The sequence below is a fragment of the Homo sapiens genome, chromosome 4 (genome assembly GCF_000001405.40).
Source record: "Homo sapiens chromosome 4, GRCh38.p14 Primary Assembly".
NCBI lineage: Eukaryota > Metazoa > Chordata > Mammalia > Primates > Hominidae > Homo > Homo sapiens.
This window is the reverse complement of record NC_000004.12, coordinates 47,774,566-47,797,810: the sequence shown is the minus strand read 5'-3', so window position 1 is coordinate 47,797,810 and position 23,245 is coordinate 47,774,566. Positions and strand designations below refer to the sequence as shown.

At 37.4% G+C, this 23,245-nt stretch overlaps 1 protein-coding gene across 3 annotated transcripts in view; it reads left to right on the top strand.

Moving 5' to 3' along the window:
* CORIN (corin, serine peptidase) overlaps positions 1-23,245 on the top strand; it is a 244,067-nt gene that overhangs the window by 40,257 nt on the left and 180,565 nt on the right. For 2 of the 3 annotated variants that reach the window (NM_006587.4, NM_001278586.2), the window contains exon 3: positions 10,886-11,086. The exons of the other annotated variant lie outside the window; for it this stretch is intronic. In NM_006587.4, coding sequence (NP_006578.2) covers positions 10,886-11,086 — 201 coding nt within the window. The remainder of the gene's footprint in view (positions 1-10,885; positions 11,087-23,245) is intronic. 3 annotated transcript variants of the gene reach the window in all.

Here is a 23,245-nt window from a genome sequence, read left to right as displayed (position 1 = left end):
CACAGAATTGTTATGGAAGTCAAATGAAATGTTTGTGAAAGTGTTTTTATAAGTGATAAGTTCATTATAGTAGTAAAGAATTTGTTTTATTTGATTATGAATAATTATCATCAGATAATTATTTTAATAAATAGTCATATTATACCCAAGTAACAATTAACTAAACATGCATTTTGTCTCACATTAACTCTGTCCATAAGAATTAAAACCTTTGTGCTATGACCTGTTGTCATAGTAACCCCATGATCCATAACCCCATAGCCCTAGAATCAGGCTGTTGCTGCAAGATATTTGAATTGCCTAAAAGTAGCTAGGAAGAAATAAAGTTGACCAACAGTTGGATTTGTAACGTGATGGCAAGTTTGACAGGCCTTTTATTCTTAGGCCTGAGATTTACTTTCAGAGACTAATTTCTTTCTTATAAGAACTAAACCTGCAATGGTTTGTGCTGCCTTCATGTGACAACAAGTGTCACTTTATGCCATAGAGTACTTTGAGATTGAACTGATACCTTCCTCAAATTTTACATATACATATATAATTATTTACTATATTATAAATTCACAATATTATGTATTATAATTATATATTATATTATATATTATAAATATACATCATCATGCAACATTTAAAGTAAAATTATTTTGATATGTTGAGAAACATTTAAAAGAAACAAAATTAGCTATAATGTAATACTATTCACCCCTTTAACAAATATGTATTGAGTGTCTGTTATATGCAACACAGTGTGCTATAGGTATTGGGGACAGCAGTGAATAAAGCCTACCCTCAGGGACTCCACAGTGAGGGAAGAAGGCATGAAACAAATGATCACTTCATTAAGTAATTACAACAGAGTTTACTGCTATGTGGGAAGAGACAAGGTGCTAAGAGAACTTACGACAGGGACAGAAACTGGGCTGAGATGAGGGAAGATTCCCTAGGGAGTAAGTAGTACTTTAAACATGAAATCCACAATAAGGATGTTGATATAAGAGAGTGACAGGGTCTGGTTGTAGCATTTATTTATTTATTTGTTTATTTATTCATTCATTAAGCCCTTTTAATGAGGTATGATTGGCATACAAAAAGCTGCACATATTTAATGTATCACAACTTGATGAGTTTGGAAACAAGTATATACCTGTGAAATCATCACCACAATTTCTGCAATAAACATATCCATCACCTCCAAAAGTTTCCTCACATCTTTATTATTTTTTTCCATGATAAGAACATTTTGCATAAGATCTGCCCTTTTAACAAATGTTTAAGTACCCAAAGAAGTATTAACCATAGTCACTATGTTGTATAGTCATCTCTAGAACTTATTTATCTTATATTACTGAAACTTTATACCCTTGGATATCGCCTTATTTCCTCTTCCCCTCTGGCAATCGCCATTCTGCTTTCTGCTTCTATGAATCTATTTTAGATTTCTCATATGAGTGTGATCATGTAGTATTTGTCCTTAGCATAATGGCCCCCAGGTTCATCCATGTTGCCACAAGTGATAAGATTTTCTTCTTTTTTAAGGCCAAATGATATACCATTGTGTGTATGCCACATTTTTAAAATTTATTCATCTATCAGTGGACATTTAGGCTGCTTCCATGTCTTGGCTATTGTGAATAATGCTGCACGGAACATGGGAGTGCAGATAGGAGATCCTGATTTCAATTTTTTGGATGTATACCCAGAAGTGGGATTGCTGGATCATGCGATAGTTCTATTTTTAATTTTTTTGAAGGACCTTCCATTCTGTTTTCCATAGTGGCTGCATCAATTTACATTCCTACTAACAGTGTACAAGGGTTTCAATTTCTTCACATTATCACCAACATCTGTTATCTTTTGTTTTTGGTAATAGCCATCATAACAACCATGATGTGACATCTCTTTATCATTTTGATTTGCATTTCGCTAATGACTAGTGATTTGAGCACCATCTCATATACTTACTGGCTACTGGCTCTGCGTATGTGTCTTCTTTGGAGAAATGTCTATTCAGATCCGTTGCCTGTTAAAAAAATCAGGTTACCTTTTTTTTTGCTATTGATTTGTGAGTTTCTTATTTTTACATATTTTGAATATTAACTCTTGATCAAATATGTGGTTTACAAATAATTTCTCTCATTTTTTAGGTCCACTCAACCTCTGTTGATTGTTTTGCTGTGCAAAGTTTTCAGTTTGATGTAACACTGCTGGTCTTTTTTTTTTCTTTGTTGCCAGTGCTTTTTATGTCATGTCTAAGAAATCCTTGTTAATAGGATTAACAAGAATAAGTACTTGGGAATAAACATAACTAAGGAAGGGAAATATTTTTACACTGAAAACTATAAAATGCTGATAAAAGAAATTAAATCAGACACAAATAAATGAAAAGACATTTAATATTCATTGACTGGAGGAATTAATATTGTTAAAATGTCCATACTACCCAGAGTGATCTATAGATTCAATGCAGTCCCTAGCTAAATCCCAGTGGCATTTTTCAGATAAAACAATCCTAAAATTCATTTGGAGCCACAAAAGATCCCAAATACCCAAAGCGATTTTGAGCAGAAACGACAAAGATAGAGGCATCAAATGTGCTGATTTCAAACTATATTATGAGGCTACAGCAATCAAAGCAGTATAGCACTAGAATAGAAACAGACATATAGACCAATGGAACAGAATATAGAGCCCAGAAATAAATCCACATGTATATGGTCATTGGATCTTCAACAAAGGTGTGAAGAGTACACGAGGGGGAAAGAATACTCTCTTTGACAAATGGTGTTAGGAAAATTGCATATCCACATCCAAAAGGATGAAATGGGACCCTTATCTTATACCATCATACCAAAATCAAGTCAAAATGGATTAAAGACTAAAACATAAAACTGGAAACCATAAAACTCCTAGAAGAAAACATCGGAAAAAAAAGCTCTTTCAAGGTCTTGGAAATGATTATCTTGGTTGGGACTTTTAAAAGGTGTCATTGGCAGCTGTATGGAGAAAGCGTTTCAGCTTTAAAAGGTGTCATTGGCAGCTGTATGGAGAAAGGGTTACAGCTGAGTATGTGGCAGGGAGTCCTATAAATGTATGGGGTATGGTCTGAATTAGTTTTTTCAAACTATTCTTCATCTCAATTTATTCACCCAAGTTATGTTCCAAAAATTCTCATTAGAATTCTCCTGACTTTTTCTTTCTCAGCCTGTCGAAGACTTGGTTTTAAATATTCATCTGCTTATTCACTCATCCATATATATCTAAAACAAATTTATTTTAGCCATAAGCTTATGAAAACTAGCTTAAAATTACATTTCTAGTTTTCTTAATATGATGGAAAATGTATGTGTGGCTTCTTAATTTTTTGAGTAAATGAGGAAAAAAGAAAAATTATAGTGGTATGTAGACTATAGAAAGTTTAATAAACCATTCATTTTTCTTGAATTCGATAAAAATATTTCTCTTCAGAAATGACCTTTCTCCTCAAAAATGCTAGATGAACTGGAGATCATTGAATTTAAATACAGTTTTCTCTTAGCAAATTTCTCAGCAGTTTGTGGCTTTTACAAGAATTTGGAGTTAAAAGAATCTTAACTTCCTAACTTATAATGTATTCTTAGTATCACTTAAAAATAGAAAACCTCCCAAATTCTTGTTTCTTCACACCCAAAATTTAAGATTCTCTATGATCTTTCATGACCTGACTCCACATTACTTAAGACTTCAAATTCTTTGAATAAATCTGGCTTTCTGTTGCAGATTCACCAGCGGAGGATTCTCAAGCATGACAATTTTTTTTCTTTAACTACTGAGGCCCGAGGTTATATGTTATGTCTAAAGCTTTTTGAAATGGTAGTCTAAAGCCTTGTTCTCAAGTGTGGCCCATGGACGAGCAGCATCAGCATCACTTGGAAGTTTGTGTAAAATGCAGAATCCAGAATCTCAGTCCCCACTCCAAACCTGCTGAATTTGAATTCTAACAAGAACCACCCCAGATGATTCCTATACCTCTATCAGTCCCCTTCTGATCATCTCTTTCACTTCTTTTCATACTCCTATATCTGTACTTAGCAAGCCCACCAGTGTCTTTTTATCCAATGTGCTGCATTGGAAACCAATGTGTATTTGAACGAGACTTTGAAATGAAGAACCTATGTTTCTCTCTGTGTCTGTGTACATCAATTCATGGTAAGAATGTTCATTGTTAGTTGGTGCCAGCAATGCTTTCTTCTCCCCAGATGTGCTATGCGCATATGATCTTCCTCAGTGTTGAGTACTACTTTCATCTCATTATGCTCTTCAACTATGCCTTCATATTGTCACCTCTGATTATCCTTCAGTATCTCTGCCTGCTGTTTCTCATTTTCCTTAAGCTAACCTTTCTTTAACTGTCCATTAAATGGCATTAAAAAGAGCTGTCTGTCCTCAGCTGTCTTCTCACTTTACACTGATACCCCTCTTGGCAATATCAGCCATTTCCATTAGTCCATTCATCATTCATACGTTCAACGAATATTTATGGAGCCCTACACTGGTGCTAGGTGTTCTGCTCGGGGATTGATGTATAGATGCATGGGACAGACAGTTCCACTTGAGTGCATATGTGCTACAATATAACCAGTGCGTGCTCTGGGAACACAAAGGAGGGACAGCATTGTGGGGGAGTCTGGTGAGGCATCTGGAGGAAATCATCAGATTGCTTCAGATTTGGGCTTTTTCCCCCCTGAATGTTTCACAGGCCCTTTATATTCAATAAAGTGTAACAACAACAACAACAACAACAACAGGCTTCTACAAATCTATTTTTCATTCTCTGTTATCTATTGTTTTAGTCAAGATTGGCTAGACTCTGTCATGTAACAACAGCAAATCCCCCAATACTGGTGATTTACAAACAACAATAGTTAATTTATTACAATACTACATGTCCTTTGCAAGATGGCAGGGGGCCTGTGCTCATCGAGGTCCTTCAGGGTCCAAATTGATGAACTAGCCACCATCTTGAGCCTTTGTGATGATTGTGTCAGAGCTCTGAAGGCTCTTACATCAGCAATTAAATGCTTCTGCCTAGAAGCAACACTTTTTAGTTTTGCTTATAGCCTTGAACTTGAAGCAAGGCCTCACTCAAGAGGCCAGAGAATGCAATGCTCAGCTTATGCCCCAGTAGAAGGAGAGAGAACTGGAAATATTTGATGAACAACACTAACGATATGACACCAATTCAGTTGGGGATATGTTTGTTTACTACATTATTCAAACCAGAGACCTCGAAGGGACCTTTCTCTCATGTTCATATGATTTTGCATCTTTGGAGCTTTCTCCTAATGTTCCCTTTGTCCATAGGGTTTTTGCGTTGGCTAAGGCCTTACTCTTTTCTCACTTGGAGTATTACAATAGCCTTCTAACTACCCTCTAAACTTTTAAACGTCACCCTGCTGCCAAAGTGATCATTCTAATATGTTTCACCCTATTTAAGACCTTTCTAAAATTTTCTATCACAAGGTAAATTCCAAGCCTTGTACAAGACCTATCCTGTCTGGTGTCTCTTCCCTTTTCAGTCTTTTCTCTTACCAGGCTCCTGTGTACTAGCCATGTTTTTAAATTACTTGCTGCTGGGCCTTTTCATATGTTTTTCCCTTGGCTTTATCTAGAAAATGTTTCACTTCCTCTTGCCACGCCACTCTCCTCCCCACAAATACTTTGCTTAAACCTAGAAAATCCCTAATCATCTTTTAAGATTCACATTTAGGATACTCGTCTCTAAACAGGCTTTCCTGACTTTTTCAAATGGAATGAGGACTATCTCTCTACTTTTTGCTACCAGATTGTCCTAGGCATATCATTCTCAAAGCACTTGTACCATAGTTTATATTAATATTTTTTAGATTGCCTGCCCGTCTCCCTCAACTAATCTATAAACATCTTGATAGTAAGGACCTCTTACTAAATATTGTGTTCTCAGCAGAGTAAGTATGAAGTTCTTGGCACATAGAAAATGCAAAGTAAATGTGTTTCACATGGCTAAAGATACAAAGCTAAGAAATTAATTTTAAAATCACATTATAGGAAGATAAATTCTGCAAGCACATAATGGTTGACTTTTAAAACCTGTATGTTTTGTCCAGAATGAAAAGTGTGTGTATATGTATATGTCTATTTGCCATGTCCCAACTCAAATCTTGAGCAAGCTAATTCACTCTCATAAACTTCAGTTTCCATCTCTCTAAAACTCTGTCAAACGATTAATTATATTATCTGTTTTATAGGATTATTGGAAGGTTAACTCAGTTGATGCCTATAGTGAGGGAACTTAGCAAGGTGCTTGTATTAATTTTTTATTGCTCCTGTAACAAATTACCACAAACTTGGTAGCTTAAAAAGATAGTACAAATTTATTATCTTAGAGTTAAGAAGTTCAAAATAGGTCTCACTGGGCAAAATTTAGGTGTTCCTTCTGCAGACTCTATGGGACAATCTATTCTCTTGCTTTTTCTAGCTTCTAGGGCTTCCTGCATTCCTTGGCTTGTGGCTCTTTCCATCTTCAAAACAAGCAATGGTCCATTGAGTTTTTCTCACAGTTCATGACCCTGACACATACTCTCTTATCTCCCTCTTCTGCTTATAAAGACCCTTGTGATTACATTGGGCTCACCTGAATAATCCAGGATAGTCTCTTCATCTCAAAATTTTTACTTCAATCACATCTGCAACATCCCTTTTACCACGTAAAGTATGTAAAGCAGAATATTCACAGGTTCTAGGAATTGGGATGTGGCATCTCTGGGGGAGCATTATTCTGTCTACCACAGTGCCCAATCTCTTCATTACAAGGAATCAGTAAAGTTTGACTATTATTATTATTAGAATTATATACTATTTCTTAAATATCATTACATTTTTTTTGGCTATAGAGCTGAAACACTTTTGAGCCAGACTATCTTAATACAATGTGACTTTCTATTAATAATTTAGCACGAAAAAGCCATAGTTTTCTCACTCCAAATGTGGGTTAAGTGATTCACTTCTGAAAGTTAGCCATTTTGTGACACTGGGATCCACTTATAGTAAAATGAAATTGATATTTATCTAAAAGTACCTTAGCAGTCCTAAAGAAGACAATTTTATTGTCATTACCATCAATGTGTAGTAATGACTAACAGTTACGGAGAACTTAGTGCCAAAAGCCATTCGAAGTGTTTATATAGGTATTGACTGATTTGATCCCAATGTTGTAGGACTTTCTCCTTAGTTCACCTAAAAGCTGGGCTCTTGTTACACAGCCATGAAAGATTAGGCTCACAGACACTTTGAACGGTGAGAAAACTGGAATTTATCGGGCTAAAAGGGGAAAAAAAAGGGAAACAGGGACTCTCAGCAAAATGACAGTCCTGCTAGCCAGTTTCCTGCCTCACAAGTTGAGTCCCAAATACCACCCCGGAACAGGAGAGGCCAGGCTCCTCACCTCTGCAAACGGTGTGAACCTCCTGAGGCTCCACCCCAGTGCACGCTCCTCCCAGTGCGCAGGCCAGTCGGGGGTTCTGCCGGGGAGCCATTTTTACTTGGCTGTCTCACCACAGCCAGCCCCATGAAGAGGTATTTTATTTTTCCTTCCTTTATGGCAGTTAAGACTTTGTCCAAAGTTTCAGGGCAAGTGGTAGAGATGGGATTTAAACCTGTACTTTTAACCATAGCACAATAAACATAGAAATGTAGAAAAGAATGAGGCAGTATTAGAAGAATAAATACTCTACTTTGGGCTAATATCTCTTAGCAGTATTATTATTATTTTTTTGAGACGGAGTCTCGCTCTGTCTCCCAGGCTGGAGTGCAGTGGCGCGATCTCAGCTCACTGCAACCTCCACCTCCCGGGTTCATGCCATTCTCCTGCCTCAGCCTCCCGAGTAGCTGGGACTACAGGCGCCCGCCACCACACCCGGCTAATTTTTTTTGTATTTTTAGTAGAGACGGGGTTTCACTGTGTTAGCCAGGACGGTCTCTATTTCCTGACCTCATGATGCGCCTGCCTCAGCCTCCCAAAGTGCTGGGATTACAGGCGTGAGCCACCGCGCCCGGCCTCTTAGCATTTTTATAGCTCATCATGATACAGGTTGAAAGCATTTAGTTTTATTGAGTTCTAATTCTTGTGCTTAAAAGAAAATGCATAGTAGACAACCGTGTTGGGAGTTGGTCAGCTTCCAGAGATACTTGAAAACAAGTTGTCCAGTGAGTTCAGGCTTTTAAAGACATGTCCTTTAAGTTTATTCTGTTTCTCTTCCCCCAAAATATACTTTAAAAACATTAACTACAGTACCTCTCAAATATTATCTTTCTTTTTATTCTGCCAAATTGCTTTCAATACATAAAGCTTAAGAGCAATGAAGCTGCCTTTTTAAAAGAAAGTTGTTATCCAAGTCAGTGTTTTCTTAAAAATGTCAATGTTTCAGAGGACTTCTTAGGATAAACAGATGTTATGAAGACTTTATTTTTATTTATTTATTTATTTATTTTTGAGACAGAATTTCACTCTTGTTGCCCTGGCTGGAGTGCAATGGTGCAAACTCGGCTCACTGCAACCTCTGCCTGCCGGGTTCAAACAATTCTCCTGCCACAGCCTCCCTAGTAGCTGAGATTACAGGTGCCCGCCACCATGCCCAGCTAATTTTATTTTGTATTTTTAGTAGAGACGGGGTTTCACGCGGGTCAGGGTGGTCTAGAACTCCTGACCTCAGGTGATCCACCTGCCTCGGCCTCCCAAAGTGCTGGGATTACAGGCATGAGTCTCTGTGCCCAGCCAGATGTTATGAACACTTTAAACACTGTTTGGTTAAAATGATAAAGGAAATATTAAAATGACAAAGGAAAGATTATTAATAAGGCTAATTATTACCAAAAAGTTAGGAACAAGTGTTCAAATATTTTATATGAGAAGGAACTAATTTTAAGGGAATTACTCCAGGGTACAACCGTGAACAATTGGCATTTGCTAAAAGTATGTTGACAGAACTGGATGCCTACTCATAGATTCAGCAAGATAAGTAAATCAACTTAATGGGCCTATATATTCATTACAACCACATTAGCATAAATATCACCTTATGGAAAAAATCTCTTTATGCCAAAAATAAGCAAGGAAGAGAGCAATTAACAAATGGATGTAAGGAAAACTATAGGTAATTGATTAATTACTAATTATTCTGTATGTGTGAAATACATTTCCTATAGTAATTAAACCTATCACATTTATTTTGATTAGGATAAAGTCTAAATCATTTTGAAAATCAATAACAATTAAATGAATTCCTTCATTTTACCTACTGCATTTGACTTTTACTCATGATCACACAGATGGTTTGGAGAGCATGTTACCCGCATTACATGATCATGATTTAGCTTTTATGCTTCAATGTTTTATTTACAATCTTTTGGCAGAGGAAACTGTTGATCTCAGTTAGCTAGAAACAGCTGCTTTTCTATTTTTATTTGTAGTTAATGTTTTCCAAGTGTCAAGCATATGTAGAGAAATTGTTTCCATAGACTGATATTAAACATTTTATTTATGTTTCTTTTATTTTTAATGGTCCTTGGGACTATTTAGAAAAGTGAGAGCCAATTAGAGCATTCACTGTAAATGCTTTTAGAAAAGAAAATCTCCCTTGGCTCTTTCTATCGATGGGTCAATATCACATTCATTTATTTTCGTGGCATGCTCAAGTACAGTGCGATATTCTGGAAACACAATCTGCTGTCTATTTTGACTGAGTTAAAAATACACGATCTCTTTCAAAGTTTTCAAATGTTTCTTCCTAAAGACAAAGCAAGGTGGTTTTCAATAATCTTAGGTTTGGTTCTTTGTTTTGTCAATGAATGGATACCTTGAGAAAGTGGCCAGTTGATAATCTTAGTTTAATGAGTATGGAAAACCAAACATCGTATGTTCTCACTCATAAGTGGGAGCTAAGCTATGAGGATGCAAAGGCATAAGAATGACACAATGAACTTTGGGGACTCGGGGAAAGTGTGGAAAGAGAGTTGGGGTAAAAGTCTACAAGTTAGGTGCAGTGTATACTGCTCATGGCATGTGCCAAACTTTGCATGGTGCATGGGTGCACCAAAATCTCACAAATCACCACTAAGGAACTTACTCGTTACCAAACACCACCTGTTCCCCAATAACCTATGGAAATAAATTTTTTAAATGAGTATTTCTTATTTCATATAATTACATTTTTATTTTCTGGTCGAAGATGAAGATAATTTAGTTTCTTCTTTTAGTTTGTGCTTTAGAGGTTTTTTTTTTTTTGGTTCCTATGATACAAGTTTTGATAAATGTATGAGCCCTCTTATTTTTTATTTGTGTGTGATGCATAGTTTACTGAACATTAGTGCAAAATGTGGGAAATATAAAGCTGATGGCAAGCACCATTGTGTCCTTTGATGACAGATACAGAGAGAGGTAGAGCACATGTCCTGGGTCCTGAGTAGCAAACAATGACCGGTGAGATTAAGAAACTAAGGAAGTGAAAGAGAATGCTGTAAGATTCACCACATTTTATTGTGTGGTGAGTCTCAGGTGAGGTAGAATTACCCTACATTTTTGAAGCACCAGGAAACCTTGATAGGAGACCCAGTTTCTAAACCGTAAGCTCTTGAGAAAGCCATGTTTCATCACAGGGCTGTGTGATTTGTGGTAGAAGAGAAACTCTTGGTTTTGTGGTTGTTGACCCCAAGAAGGAGGTCACTATTACGGCTTTCATCTTCGTCTTTGTGTTTACCTGGTTAGAATGACATAGGGAAAGTAGCTCTAGAGTTTTCTTAATGTTTTTTAAAATAAACACTTCTAGTAATGTTTCAAAGATAGGTTTTTTTTGTGTTTGTTTTTGTCTTTCAGGAACATTACAAAAGGTCTATTTTAAATCAAATGGGAGTGAACCTTTGGTCACTGATGGTGAAATCCAAGGGTCCGATGTTATTCTTACAAATACAATTTATAACCAGAGCACTGTGGTGTCTACTGCACATCCCGACCAACACGTTCCAGCCTGGACTACGGATGCTTCTCTCCCAGGGGACCAAAGTCACAGGAATACAAGTAAGTCCAAAGGTGATACATGCTAGAGGCTTTTAATGTCCCACAGGTAGGTTTTTAAGTTTGGCAACCAATGCTTTTAGTTCACAATCACTTGCCGGTCACACAGGAAAATCTCCACTCAGTTTCCTGGTAAGCGTAGCTGAGTGCCCTATTTTGTTTGTTGTTGTTGTTGTTGTTGTTTTTCAGGCGGAGTTTTGCTCTTGTCACCCAGGCTGAAGTGCAGTGGTGCAATCTGACCTCACTGCAACCTCCGCCTCCCAGGTTTAAGCAATTCTCCTGCCTCAGCCTCTTGAGTGGCTGGGATTACAGGCGCCCGCCACCACGCCCAGCTAATTTTTTTTTCTGTAGTTTTGGTAGAGATGGGGTTTCACCATATTGGCCAGGCTGGTCTCGAACTCCTGACCTCAAGTGATCCGCCCGCCTCGGCCTCCCAAAGTGCCAGGATTACAGGCGTGAGCCACCGCGCCCTGCTGAGTGCCCTATTCTTAAACATGAAATGCCATTAGCCCAGATGTTCAGGTAGGACTGAGTAAGAAATGAAAACGTATCAATGCCATTCAATATTTCTGAGGTCTGAAAATTTATGCTGCTTGCCCCAGTATAGTGGCATTGATTTTGTAGTGGTTCATCTGTGAAAGTTTGCGCTTCAGCTTTGAAGTTTTTGAAGTTTTAAGTTACTTATTTTGAGTTAATAAGTAAGTTAAGTCACTGACTTTGTGGTTGGTCCCTTGCAGGAGGACCAATTCAATAACAGGATGCTGAGTGATTTAATGGGAGCTATCCCCCTATTTACCTTTTTTTTTTTTTTTTTTTTTGAGATGGAGTCTCTCTGTCTCCTAGTCTGGAATGCAGTAGCACAATCTCAGCTCACTGCAATCTCTGCCTCCTGGGTTCAAGTGATTCTCCTGCCTCAGCCGCCTGAGTAGCTGGGATTACAGGCATGCGCCACCATGCCTGGCTAATTTTTGTATTTTTAGTAGAGACAGGGTTTCACCATGTTAGTCAGGCTGGTCTTGAACTCCTAACCTCATGATCCACCCGCCTCGGCCTCCCAAAGTGCTGGGATTACAGGCATGAGCCACTGCACCCAGCCCCCTATTTCCTTTTGAGACATTCATGTGTCCTTTTTTCATCTTGCTTCCCTTTTCACCTGCTATTATTGGCTGTAAAATTTATTTTACATGTTGGTGAATGACAAAAAAAAAAATCACACCTTGAGAAAAATGGCATGTGCCAAACTCTTCTGCATGAGGGCAAAGGGAAGGATTTGTTAGTTATTCCAGAAGAGCTGGGAGAGAGAAAAGACAGAAAGTGTGGACATGGGGCGTGGTGAGTTGGTGAGAGGTGACAGATGATATGCTCTGGAATGTGACTCTACCTTTTGATAAAGTTACTGCCCTTCCGGAATACAGAATACTCGGTGGGAGTGGATTTGTATGGAAAATGCCAAGAAGCTTTGGGTGTGATACAACCAATGCTAATAAAAAATAATCAGAGCACAGTACAGCCACTGCCAGAATTTTCTCCATAGTTGTCTTGGCTCTTCATTTCTACTTTCTAAAACAAGGTTATGTGATTGAAAATTACACAAAGCCCATCCAACCATGATCATTTTCTTGTGTGTTTCTCTCTCTTTCATGAAAACCCACAAAGGGATATCACATCTTAAGTCTGAGATGGCGTATTTATTTTTATTTTGAGCCAGGAAAGGAAGGATTAAGTTGACTTTTAGCTATCATAGTATATGTTTGCCAGTGTTTGAGGAAAAGCAGGATTATTCTATTTCTCCAACCCAAAAGAGACAGACAGTTTGGATTCCACTGTTTCACAGAGCACCTATAGGTATTAACTGTTTGTTGTGCATAGTGTTTACCAGTGATTCATATGGATTTGGGTTCATTACCTGACAGTATTTTTGCAAACCAGAATTATGCCAAGTTAAATTTATTTTCCTCATGGGTTTAATTGTGAGGTTTTATTTTTCAGTCATGTCTTAAGCACTTCATTATTCTTAAGAACAGTGTTTTTCATAGAAGTACAGAAGTAATTTAAACAAAAACTCAGTCAAGTTAATGTGGTTGCAATTACAGTAATTGTTATTTTCTTCTACTAAGTGCATTTGTCTTTATTTTGAAAGTTCCATTATTTGTTAAGATTCAAACAGGATTGACAAATACATGTCCTGAAGAGTAAAGAAACATGTGGCTGTTGTTGCTCAGATTGGAAGTTTGATAGAAGTCTGTCTGACTCATTTGCTCTTCCTATGATTGGAACATTGCTTGTGAATATGAGCATAAATTGACATGTAGAGGAAATCCAGGTCAAATTAGAATGGCTAAATGGAGAAAGGCCAAAACCCTAGCATATGTGTCATTTTATATTGTTAATGTACTTGACAGTTAGCATTAGTCTTTCCTGTCTGGCCACATAGACTCTCAGTATACTGTTAATATCAACTAAAATTATTTATTGCAAGAAATTGGATAGCTTTCCATACATTTCAGTAATAATGCAAGCCTGTGATTATAGAACTTTTAGAGTTTTTAGGGAATGTTTGAATATTTTCTCTGTGATCCTTATAATTAACTGATGAAATACACCAGACAGGTAGTAGCATACCCCATTTTTCACGGTGTGAATTTGAGGCTTAGAGAAATTAGTTGATGTATCCAGTATCACTTGCCTAGTAATTAGTAGACATGAAATTTTGATTCAGATCTTAGGACTCCAAGATCAGTGCTCTTTCAAGTTTTTCATCATCATTTAATCTTATTGTTTTCTTTGCCGTAACATTATTAAACAAATTTTAAGTTCTGGGAGAGAAGAAAGAGTAGATTATTTTGTTGTTGTTTTTATTGCTGTATAGTCAATGTGTAATAAAATATTAGCTGAATGAATAAATAAATGAACTATAGTCATTTTAAATTTTAATATATGATTTATCACTTTTGCTAGAAGTGCCTGATCACACTTCTATGACTTGATGTTTATTTCACCAGTTTTACTTAAAATATCATTTAATGTCTTAGATCTGTATTAACACTGAGCAGAGAGTTTATTTTTATCCTCCTCTTTTATTATGCTCAAATTAAGATGTTATTTTCAATTCCTGGCATATGTAAAAGCTATTTAAATATACTTCAGTCCAAAAATACAATGGCCAGACATTCATTCTATTCTACCCAAATATCCTGGGTAGGAAAATACCAAGAAATAGTCTTTCCCTAAGACATTTTTCTTGGGGGTTCTTCATGTCATGCCAAGACATAGAATCCTGCATTTTGTAAAGCTTTAACCAGAATACCCCCATATTACACTATGTAGTACAGTTAGGTTTTGTGAAAGTGAAATAAGCTTTATGTGACATCTGGTACTTCTGGAGTTAACATTAGTTACATTTTGAAAACAAATTATAATGTGAAAAAGGAAAAGGCCCATAGTTAATGTTCATACTATGTTTCAGCAAGGACTTTTTTTAGGTTGTATTCTATATCTGGGTTTTTATTTTCACCATTTTTTCCTTATGTATTTTATAACTATTTAAATATATATTTAACTTTAAGGAAAGGGGAAACTTTTGCCAACCAAGATCTTTTGGGTAAAAGATAATATGGAACACAATAAAATAACCTAGTAACTCTGATGAGGAGTTAAAGTGACAAGAGAGTAAATTGATGTGCTGAAAGCTTAAAGTGTTCTGTTCTCTTATCACATCTTTGATAACCGGATCCTGAATCTTCTATTTCAGACCATCACCACTATCTAATTTTAGAATATTCTCATCATTGCAAAAAAAAAAGGCATATTCCCTGTCCCTTATTTCCCCTTTCCCTCAGCTCCTGGCCAAAACTAATCTAGTTTCAATCTCTATGGATTTTCTTATTCTGAAACTTTTATATAAAAAGCAACAGACAATATGTGGTCCTTTGTATCTGCCTTCTTTTATTTTGCATGATGTTTTCAGAATGCATCCGTGATATAGCATGTGTCAGTATTTCATTTCTTTTTAGTGCTGAGTAATATTCCTTCATATGGCTCTATCACATTTTCTTTATCCAGTCATCCATTGTTGGAAATTAGGATTGCATATACATTTTTTAAAACTATTATCAATAATGCTTCTGTGAATATTCACGTGCAAGTTTTTGTGTGAAAACGTTTCTGGTTCTCTTGGGTTTATACCTAGAAGTGGAATTGTGTTATTTCTCTGTTTCCTTACTTGTCTTCAGTCTAGTTGTTCTATCCATTATTGAGAGTGGGGTATTCAAGTCTCCAACTATTATTGTAGATTTGTCTGTTTCTTGTCTTTTTTTCTTTCTTTCTTTTTTTTTTTTTTTCTTGAGATGGAGTCTTGCTCTGTTGCCCAGGCTGGAGTGCAGTGGCACGATCTCAGTTCACTGCAACCTTCGCCTCCTGGGTTCAGGCGATTCTCCTGACTCAGTCTCCTGAGTAGCTGGGATTACAAGCACACGCCACTATGCCTGGCTAATTTTTGTATTTTTAGTAGAGACAGGGTTTTGCCACGTTGGCCAGGCTGGTCTTGAACTCCTGACCTCAAGTGATCTGCCCACCTTGGCCTCCCGAAGTGCTGAGATTACAGTCATGAGCCACTGCGCCTGGCCTTCTTTCAGTTCTATCAATTTTTTGCGTCAGACATTTTGACGGTCTGTCATTAGGTGTGTAAATATTTACAATTGTTGTATCTTCTTTTTATATTGAACCTTTTATTAATATAAAATGTCCTTCTTTATTTCTTCTAACCATTTTTGATTTATTTTTCTTTTTTTGAGATGGAGTCTTGCTCTGTTGCCCAGGCTGGAGTGCAGTGGCATGATCTCGGCTCACTGCAACCTCTGCCTTCCAGGTTCACGCGATTCTCCTGCCTCAGCCTCCTGAGTAGCTGGGACTACAGGCGCATGCCACCATGCCTGGCTAATTTTTGTATTTTTACTAGAGACACGGTTTCACCATGTTGGCTAGGATGGTCTTGATCTCCTGACCTTGGCCTCCCAAAGTGCTGGGATCACAGGAGTTAGCCACTGCGCCCAGCCACCGTTGTTGATTTAAAGCCTATTTTGTGGATACTGATTCTCCTCAACTTATTATGGAGTTATATCCTTATAAACCCATTGTAAGTTGAAACTATTGTAAGTCAAAAATACATTTAATACATCGAACCTATAGAACATTGTAGCTTAGCTTAGCCTTCACCTTAAATGTGCTCAGAACATTTACATTAGCCTACAGTTGGACAAACCATCTAATACAAACCCTATTTTATAATAACATATTGGACAGCTCGTGTATTTTATTGTACACCTTACTGAAAGTGAAAAACAGAATGGTTATATGAGTACTCAAAATACAGTTTCTATTAAATGTGTGTCACTTTTGCACAATTGTAAAGTTGAAAAATTATAAAAGTCAAACCATCATAAGTGAGTCATCCCACTCTCTTCTTTTGGTTATTATTTGCAGGGAATATTTTTATGTATCCTTTCACTTACAACCTATTTGTGTCTTTGAATCTAAAGTGAGTCTGTGGTAGACAGCATATAGTTGGATTATGGTTTTTTTAACCCATTCTGCCAATCTCTGTCTTTTGATTGAAAAAATTTAATCCATTAATATTTAAAGTAATTACTGATGAAGACCTACTTCTGTCATTTTGCTATTTGTTTTTTATATACCTTGTAGCTTTTTTTCATCCCTCATTTCCTGGATTACTGCCTTCTTTTGTGTTTAGTTTTTTTTTTAATATTGAAACGTTTAAATTCCTTTTTCATTTCCTTTGTCATATATATATATATAAAATCTCAAAGGATATATATATATTCGATAGCTATTTTATTTATGGTTACCATTGGCATCATATTTAACATCTTAAAGTTACAGCACTCTAACTTGAATTTATACCAGTTTAACTTCAATAACAAACAAAAACTCTGTTCCTTTAACTGCTCTGTCCCACCTCTGAAACTTTCAAACATTCAATAGAATCCAGAGTTCCAAAATAGTTATATCAGACAGATTCTGCCAGTGCAATTGTTGTCTAGGTGGGGAGACAGATTGCTGGTGTTTCCTATCCCACCATCTTTCCAGATGCTCTCTAGTAAAAAAAAATTAACTTTGACAGTTTTTTTTCCCAGTGTTTTCACTGCTTTTGTGGAGGAGTAGATTTTTGGAGGATCTTACTTTGCTGTTCTGGGATTATTTCCTACTCCTCAATTGTTTTTACCTTATTTATTCACTCTGATTTCTTCTTTTTCATTTCCTTCAATATGGGGAATTGATTTTTCTCTTTTATATAATGTATGAATGTGATTATGATATATATGTTATTTGTAATTGAAGTTTTTATTTCCCATTTTTGCATAAATTCCTTCATTTCTTCTCCTTTCCTCTGCCTAAGAAGAACCTAATAGCCAAATATGTATGATTTTATAGTTTTCTCCATCCTCTTACAATCTTATATGAACATATACACATACATGTACACAGGATAATATTCACATAGAGGATTTGGGTCATTGTTTTTATTACTTTTTTTTTTTTACAAAATATCTTTCCCATCCAAGAATACTTCAAGTTAGTATCTTCAAGGCAATAGCTTAATTCTAATCTATTGTTATAATGACTAAATAGTATTCCATGTTGTCATTATACCATAATTTATTTCAACCATTTCCCCAATAATGGGAATTCACTTTATATCTAGCTTTTTCCCCCTCAGTGAACTACATAGTCTTCTTTCTGAAGAAAAAATGATTTGGATGATGACCATGATGCTGTCTAAATTGCAGTGATTTATTTACATTGATAACTAGACATGGACCGAAATGCCCTAAACTCATACCCAAAAGTTACTGGGTGTAGAAAGCTTACGCACCAATTCAAAACCCTTAGGTTGTTCTTTCTTCTTAGTTTTATGTTTTTAACATGAGATGTTTTCATTAGCTTTAACATGAGCTCTACAAGAATATACAGCTGGCCAGGCACGGTGGCTCACACCTGTAATCCTAGCACTTTGGGAGGCCGAGGCAGGTGGATCACCTGAGGTCAAGAGTTCGGGACCAGCCTGACCAACATGGTGAAACCTTGTCTCTACTAAAAATACAAAAATTATCCAGGCATGGTGGCAAACACATGTAATCCCAGCTACTCGGGAGGCTGAGGCAGGAGAATCACTTGAACCTGGGGGCGGAGGTTGCAGTGAGCCGAGATCGCACCACTTCACTCCAGCCTGGGTGAAACAGCAAAACTCCATCTAAAAAAGAAAAAAAAAAAAGAAAAAAAAAAGAATATGCAGCTAAGAGGATCAGAGCAGGCCTTGGAGTTTTACCTGGATTACTACTCATCAGGCAACTATCTTAGAGGAGAGTTTGAGAAAGGGAGTCTAATTAGATATCTGAAATCTGGTAAATCTCTTACCCGTTAAGGATGTTGGCCAGGCTGGTCTCAAACTCCTGACCTTGAGTGATCCGCCTGCCTCAGCCTCCCAAAGTGCTGGGAATACAGGCGTGAGCCTCTGTGCTCGACCTATAACCATTATTTTATAATAGGGATGAGCATAAATAATATCTTGAAATGTTTGTAACAACTCTATATTGATGGAAATATCTGATTTCTAATTTTTTCTATAGTTGTTGCCTACATTGGCAATTTAATTATACTAAATTTCAGTTGGGTGTTATTGGAAATGGAGATGTTATTTTTTCCCCATACAAGTTCATAGACAGCCTAAATTTTATGTAGGGGCCATTGGTTCTTTGGATTCTGATTATGGGCACCTGCTGTAGAGGAAAAAAATATTTTGTTGGTACCTTGGAGGGTCTGAAGTCTGCCTAAGCTGCTTCTCAAGGTCTTAGTGATATTCCAAAAGTCACTGTAGTCATGACCTCTAGACGCCATTCCCATGTGCTCTGGTGGACACTAGTGTTAGACCCCCATTGTTCAGGTCCAGTTGGTTTCTCTCCTCTATATATTAAATCATATCCTTTATTCTGAAAGAACAATTATGAGATTCAGACATGGGCTTCTGGCTAACAGCAACATCTAAGCAAGAATGAGTGCAACATTTAAGTAATCGTTGCATGCTTGTTTGGTTGTCAGCATTCTAGTAAAGACTTGCACAATTCTAGAGAGAGAAAAGTAGCTCGAATATAAGAATGGATTCTCTTCTTCTCTTTTCCCTGATTTCCTTCCCTTCCTCCTCATTCCATCTTTAGATGATTCTTTCCCTAGGATGTATTGGGTTCCTCCCAGAAAGAGCAAACTCAGTCATCTGCAGAACTAGGCTTCTGAAAGCAGTAATGGAACAGTGACTGTTTCACTCTCCTTTGGGTACAGTCCTAGATTTCCTTTTTCAAAGATGTCTTGGCAAGACTCCTGACCCTCTCTCCTAAATGAATCCTGCAATATCCCCCAGGTGACAAATGCCCCCAAAACTTATATGTTTATGCCATATTAATACATACAGCAAGTGAGAGTCAAACAGTCACATCAAAAGGGCTTGTGGCTCAAATTTTTTCTCTCCAGCTTCATTATCACAATTTCCTCTTTAGGAAGAACAGCCTAATAATACCTTTGATTCACAGAGAGAAAAAAAGGAAAACAAGCAAAACAGTAGCATGTTAACAGCATTGTAAAAATAATACTGGTCAAAATGATCTTTTAAAAGTCAAAGGCTCAGATGAAAGTCAAAACAAAAATCAAAAAACCAAAAAAACCCAAACTATGTAATTTACTTTTTCCTCTGGTTCTGAAAGAAAATTGGCACTGTATGTAATCTTTTGCCTGAATTATTCAATTTGTTGACTGTCTCAGGTTTTAAGTATTTGTATAATTTTGTGTTGAGAGCAAAAAACCCATCAGTGGGAATCTGTTTGCTGTTACTTGTGCCTTTGGAAAATATGCCTTTTCACTTGTAGCTGAAATGAGTAAGGTAATGAGTTTTCCAAACCAAAAGCTTTACATCTTTTCAATTTGACGCAATCCACTTCTTGTGTTTCAGTGTTAACACATTTTATTCTCTATTTTGCTGCTCCAGATCATTAATCTAATATTCACATGTGGTGTTTGAATTTCTGTTTTTGAGACGGAGTCTTGCTCTGTCACCCAGGCTGGAGTGCAATGGCGCGATCTTGGCACACTGCAACCTCCACCTCCTGAGTTCAAGTGATTCTCCTGCCTCAGCCTCCCGAGTAGCTGGGATAACAGGTGTGTGCCACCACGCTTAGCTAATTTTTGTATTTTTAGTAGAGATGGGGTTTCACCATATTGGCTAGGCTGGTCTTGAACTCCTGACGTCTTGATCTGCCTGCCTCGGCCTCCCAAAGTGCTGGGATTACAGACGTGAGCCACCGCGCCTGGCCAGTGTTTGAATTAATAAGACTTATGGTATAGTACTTGTTTGTAATTATATTAAGCTGTGTAAACCCATTCTCATGCCTGTGTACTTTTCTAAATTGTATGAGATGTCTCAAATTTTGGAGAATCTAGGTTAATATTCTGTGAAGCACCATTTGTTAATCAGTAGCTATTTATTGGATGTCATACTCCAGGTTTTGGCTCTATGGACTATAAAGATGGATAAGACAGAAGTCCTGTCCCCAAGCAGCCAGTTGTCTACTAACTGCCTTGCAACATGAACATATTCTTACAACTTGAGAAATAAAGTGAGAAATTCTATAAGACAGGCTCAGAAACAAACATGATCGATTTCAATTCTTTTTATTTTTCTAAAATATAATATTGCTAATTCATACCATTTTAATTCTATAATAAATACAACTTTTTTTGTAAAGTTTTCTTTACAAGGACAAAAATATATTTTAATTTAAAGGTCTATCCTGGAGCTTCTATTTTTAAACAGATTAAACTGCTTCATTTTAAAATTTAATAATTATCTTGAATCAATTGAACAGAGACTTTAGTTTTCAATTTTGTCTGTAGAGTATGGGAAGGCCAACATTGCTGTTGCAGGTATTAATGGGAATGTTATCACCTCAGGAAGTGGGAGATATAAAATTTTGTAATTTTCTCATTGGAATGGCCTCCAAATTCCTCCATTGTGTTTTAAGTACTCAAGCTCAGAGAGTCTGTTTTGTTGTGGCTATGTGTTTATAGATATGCACTCAATATAATCCTCTAGAATGTGCATTTCAGGAGACTGATTTATGATGTCCTGATGGCTGTTAAGCCACAGTAACTATGTTACCATATAATATGTCCTTTAAAGTTAATGAGAAATTTTTTTAAATGAATAATATGGGAGGTTGCTGTGGGAAAGAAATGGAGACCTGGTTGGGTGTGGTGGCTCATACCACACGCAGCAACTTGAGCCTGGGAGGCTGAAGTTCAAGTGAGCCGAGATCTCACCATTGCACTCCAGTCTGGGCAACAGAGTGAGACCTTGACTCAAAAAAACCCCCCAAAATCCTAGCACTTTGGGAGGCTGAGGTGGGTGGATTGCTTGAATTCAGGAGTTTGAGACCAGCCTGGGCAACATGGCAAAACTATCTCTACAAAAAATACAAATAGCTGGGCATGGTGAGGAGTGCCTGTAGTCCCAGCTACTCGGGAGGCTGAGGTGGGAGAAGCACTTGAGCCTGGGAGGTTGAAGTTGAAGTGAGCCGAGATCTTGCCATTGCACTCCAGCCTGGGCAACAGAGTGAAACCTTGACTCAAAAAAACCCCCAGCTACTTGGGAGGCTGAGATGGGAGAAGCACTTGAGCCTGGGAGGTTGAAGTTGAAGCGAGCTGAGATCTCGCCATTGCACTCCAGCCTGGGCAACAGAGTGAAACCTTGACTCAAAAAAACCCCAAAAAACAAAAGACAAAGCCCCAAATCCATAGAAATGGAAACCTTAAATCTAAAGTTTTTTCCTAGAGTTTCTCTAGCTTATTCTAGAGTTTGGGTACTGGCCAGTCATATCACAGCCAATCATGAGAAGCAGTGAAGCAGAAAATGCCTGGGGACACATCAAACGCTGTCAACCTCCCAGTAGAGTTGGCCCTACAGGTGCCAACTTTCTCCCTCTTCAGCTGAGCTTCTGTGTCTTCCCTCCATCCACCCTCAGCACCTTCCCTCTGAAGATCTGTTTAAAGCATGCCAGTCATTAAGAAAATGTGGCATATATACACCATGGAACACTATGCAGCCATAAAAAAGGATGAGTTCATGACTTTGTAGGGACATGGATGAAGCTGGAAACCATTATTCTCAGCAAACTATCGCAAGGACAGAAAACCAAACACCCCATGTTCTCACTCATAGGTGGGAATTGAACAATGAGAACACTTGGACACAGGATGGGGAACATCACACACGGGGGCCCGTCGTGGGGTGGGAGGAGGGGGGAGAGATAGCATTAGGAGATATACCTAATGTAAATGAAGAATTAATGGGTGCAGCACACCAACATGGCACATGTATACATAGGTAAAAAACCTGTACGTTGTGCACATGTACCCTAGAACTTAAAGTATATATGAAAAAAAAAGAAAGATAATAAATGAGACAATTATTAAAAAAACAACAACAAAAAAGCATGCCAGTCATCTCAGTCCCTCCAGGGGAGCTGTTCCACTTGTATGCGTCTAGTCAGCCATCTTGTCCTATCTCTAATTTCTTTATTGTTAAAAAGAAAACATGAAATCTAACTTCTTAACAAAGTTTTGAGTATACATTACACTTGTTAATGTGCCCATTCATCTTGCACGCCTGAAACTCTATACCCATTGGTTAGCAACTCCTCATTTCCCCTTCTGCCCAACCTCTGGCAACCATCATTCCGCTTTTCTGCTTCTATGAGTTTGACTATGTTTGATACTTTAGGTAAGTGGAATCATGCAGTATTTGCCCTTTTGTGACTGGCTTATTTTACTTAGCATAATGTCCTCAAGTTTCATGCATACCATATCATATGGCAGGATTTCCTTCTTTGTTGAGGTTGCTGCTGCTTTTATAGAAGAAGCCACTGCAAGACTTGTCAATGGGGCTAGTCTTACAGTCTGGCACATGATAAGAACTCAGAAAATACTAGCCAGAAAGGTCAGGAAGAGTCTACTTGCTCCCTTTTCCTCTTTGCTTTGACCCATGTACTACAATTTCCCTTTCGTGCTGACTCCCACATCCCTCACCAAAAACAAGCCAGA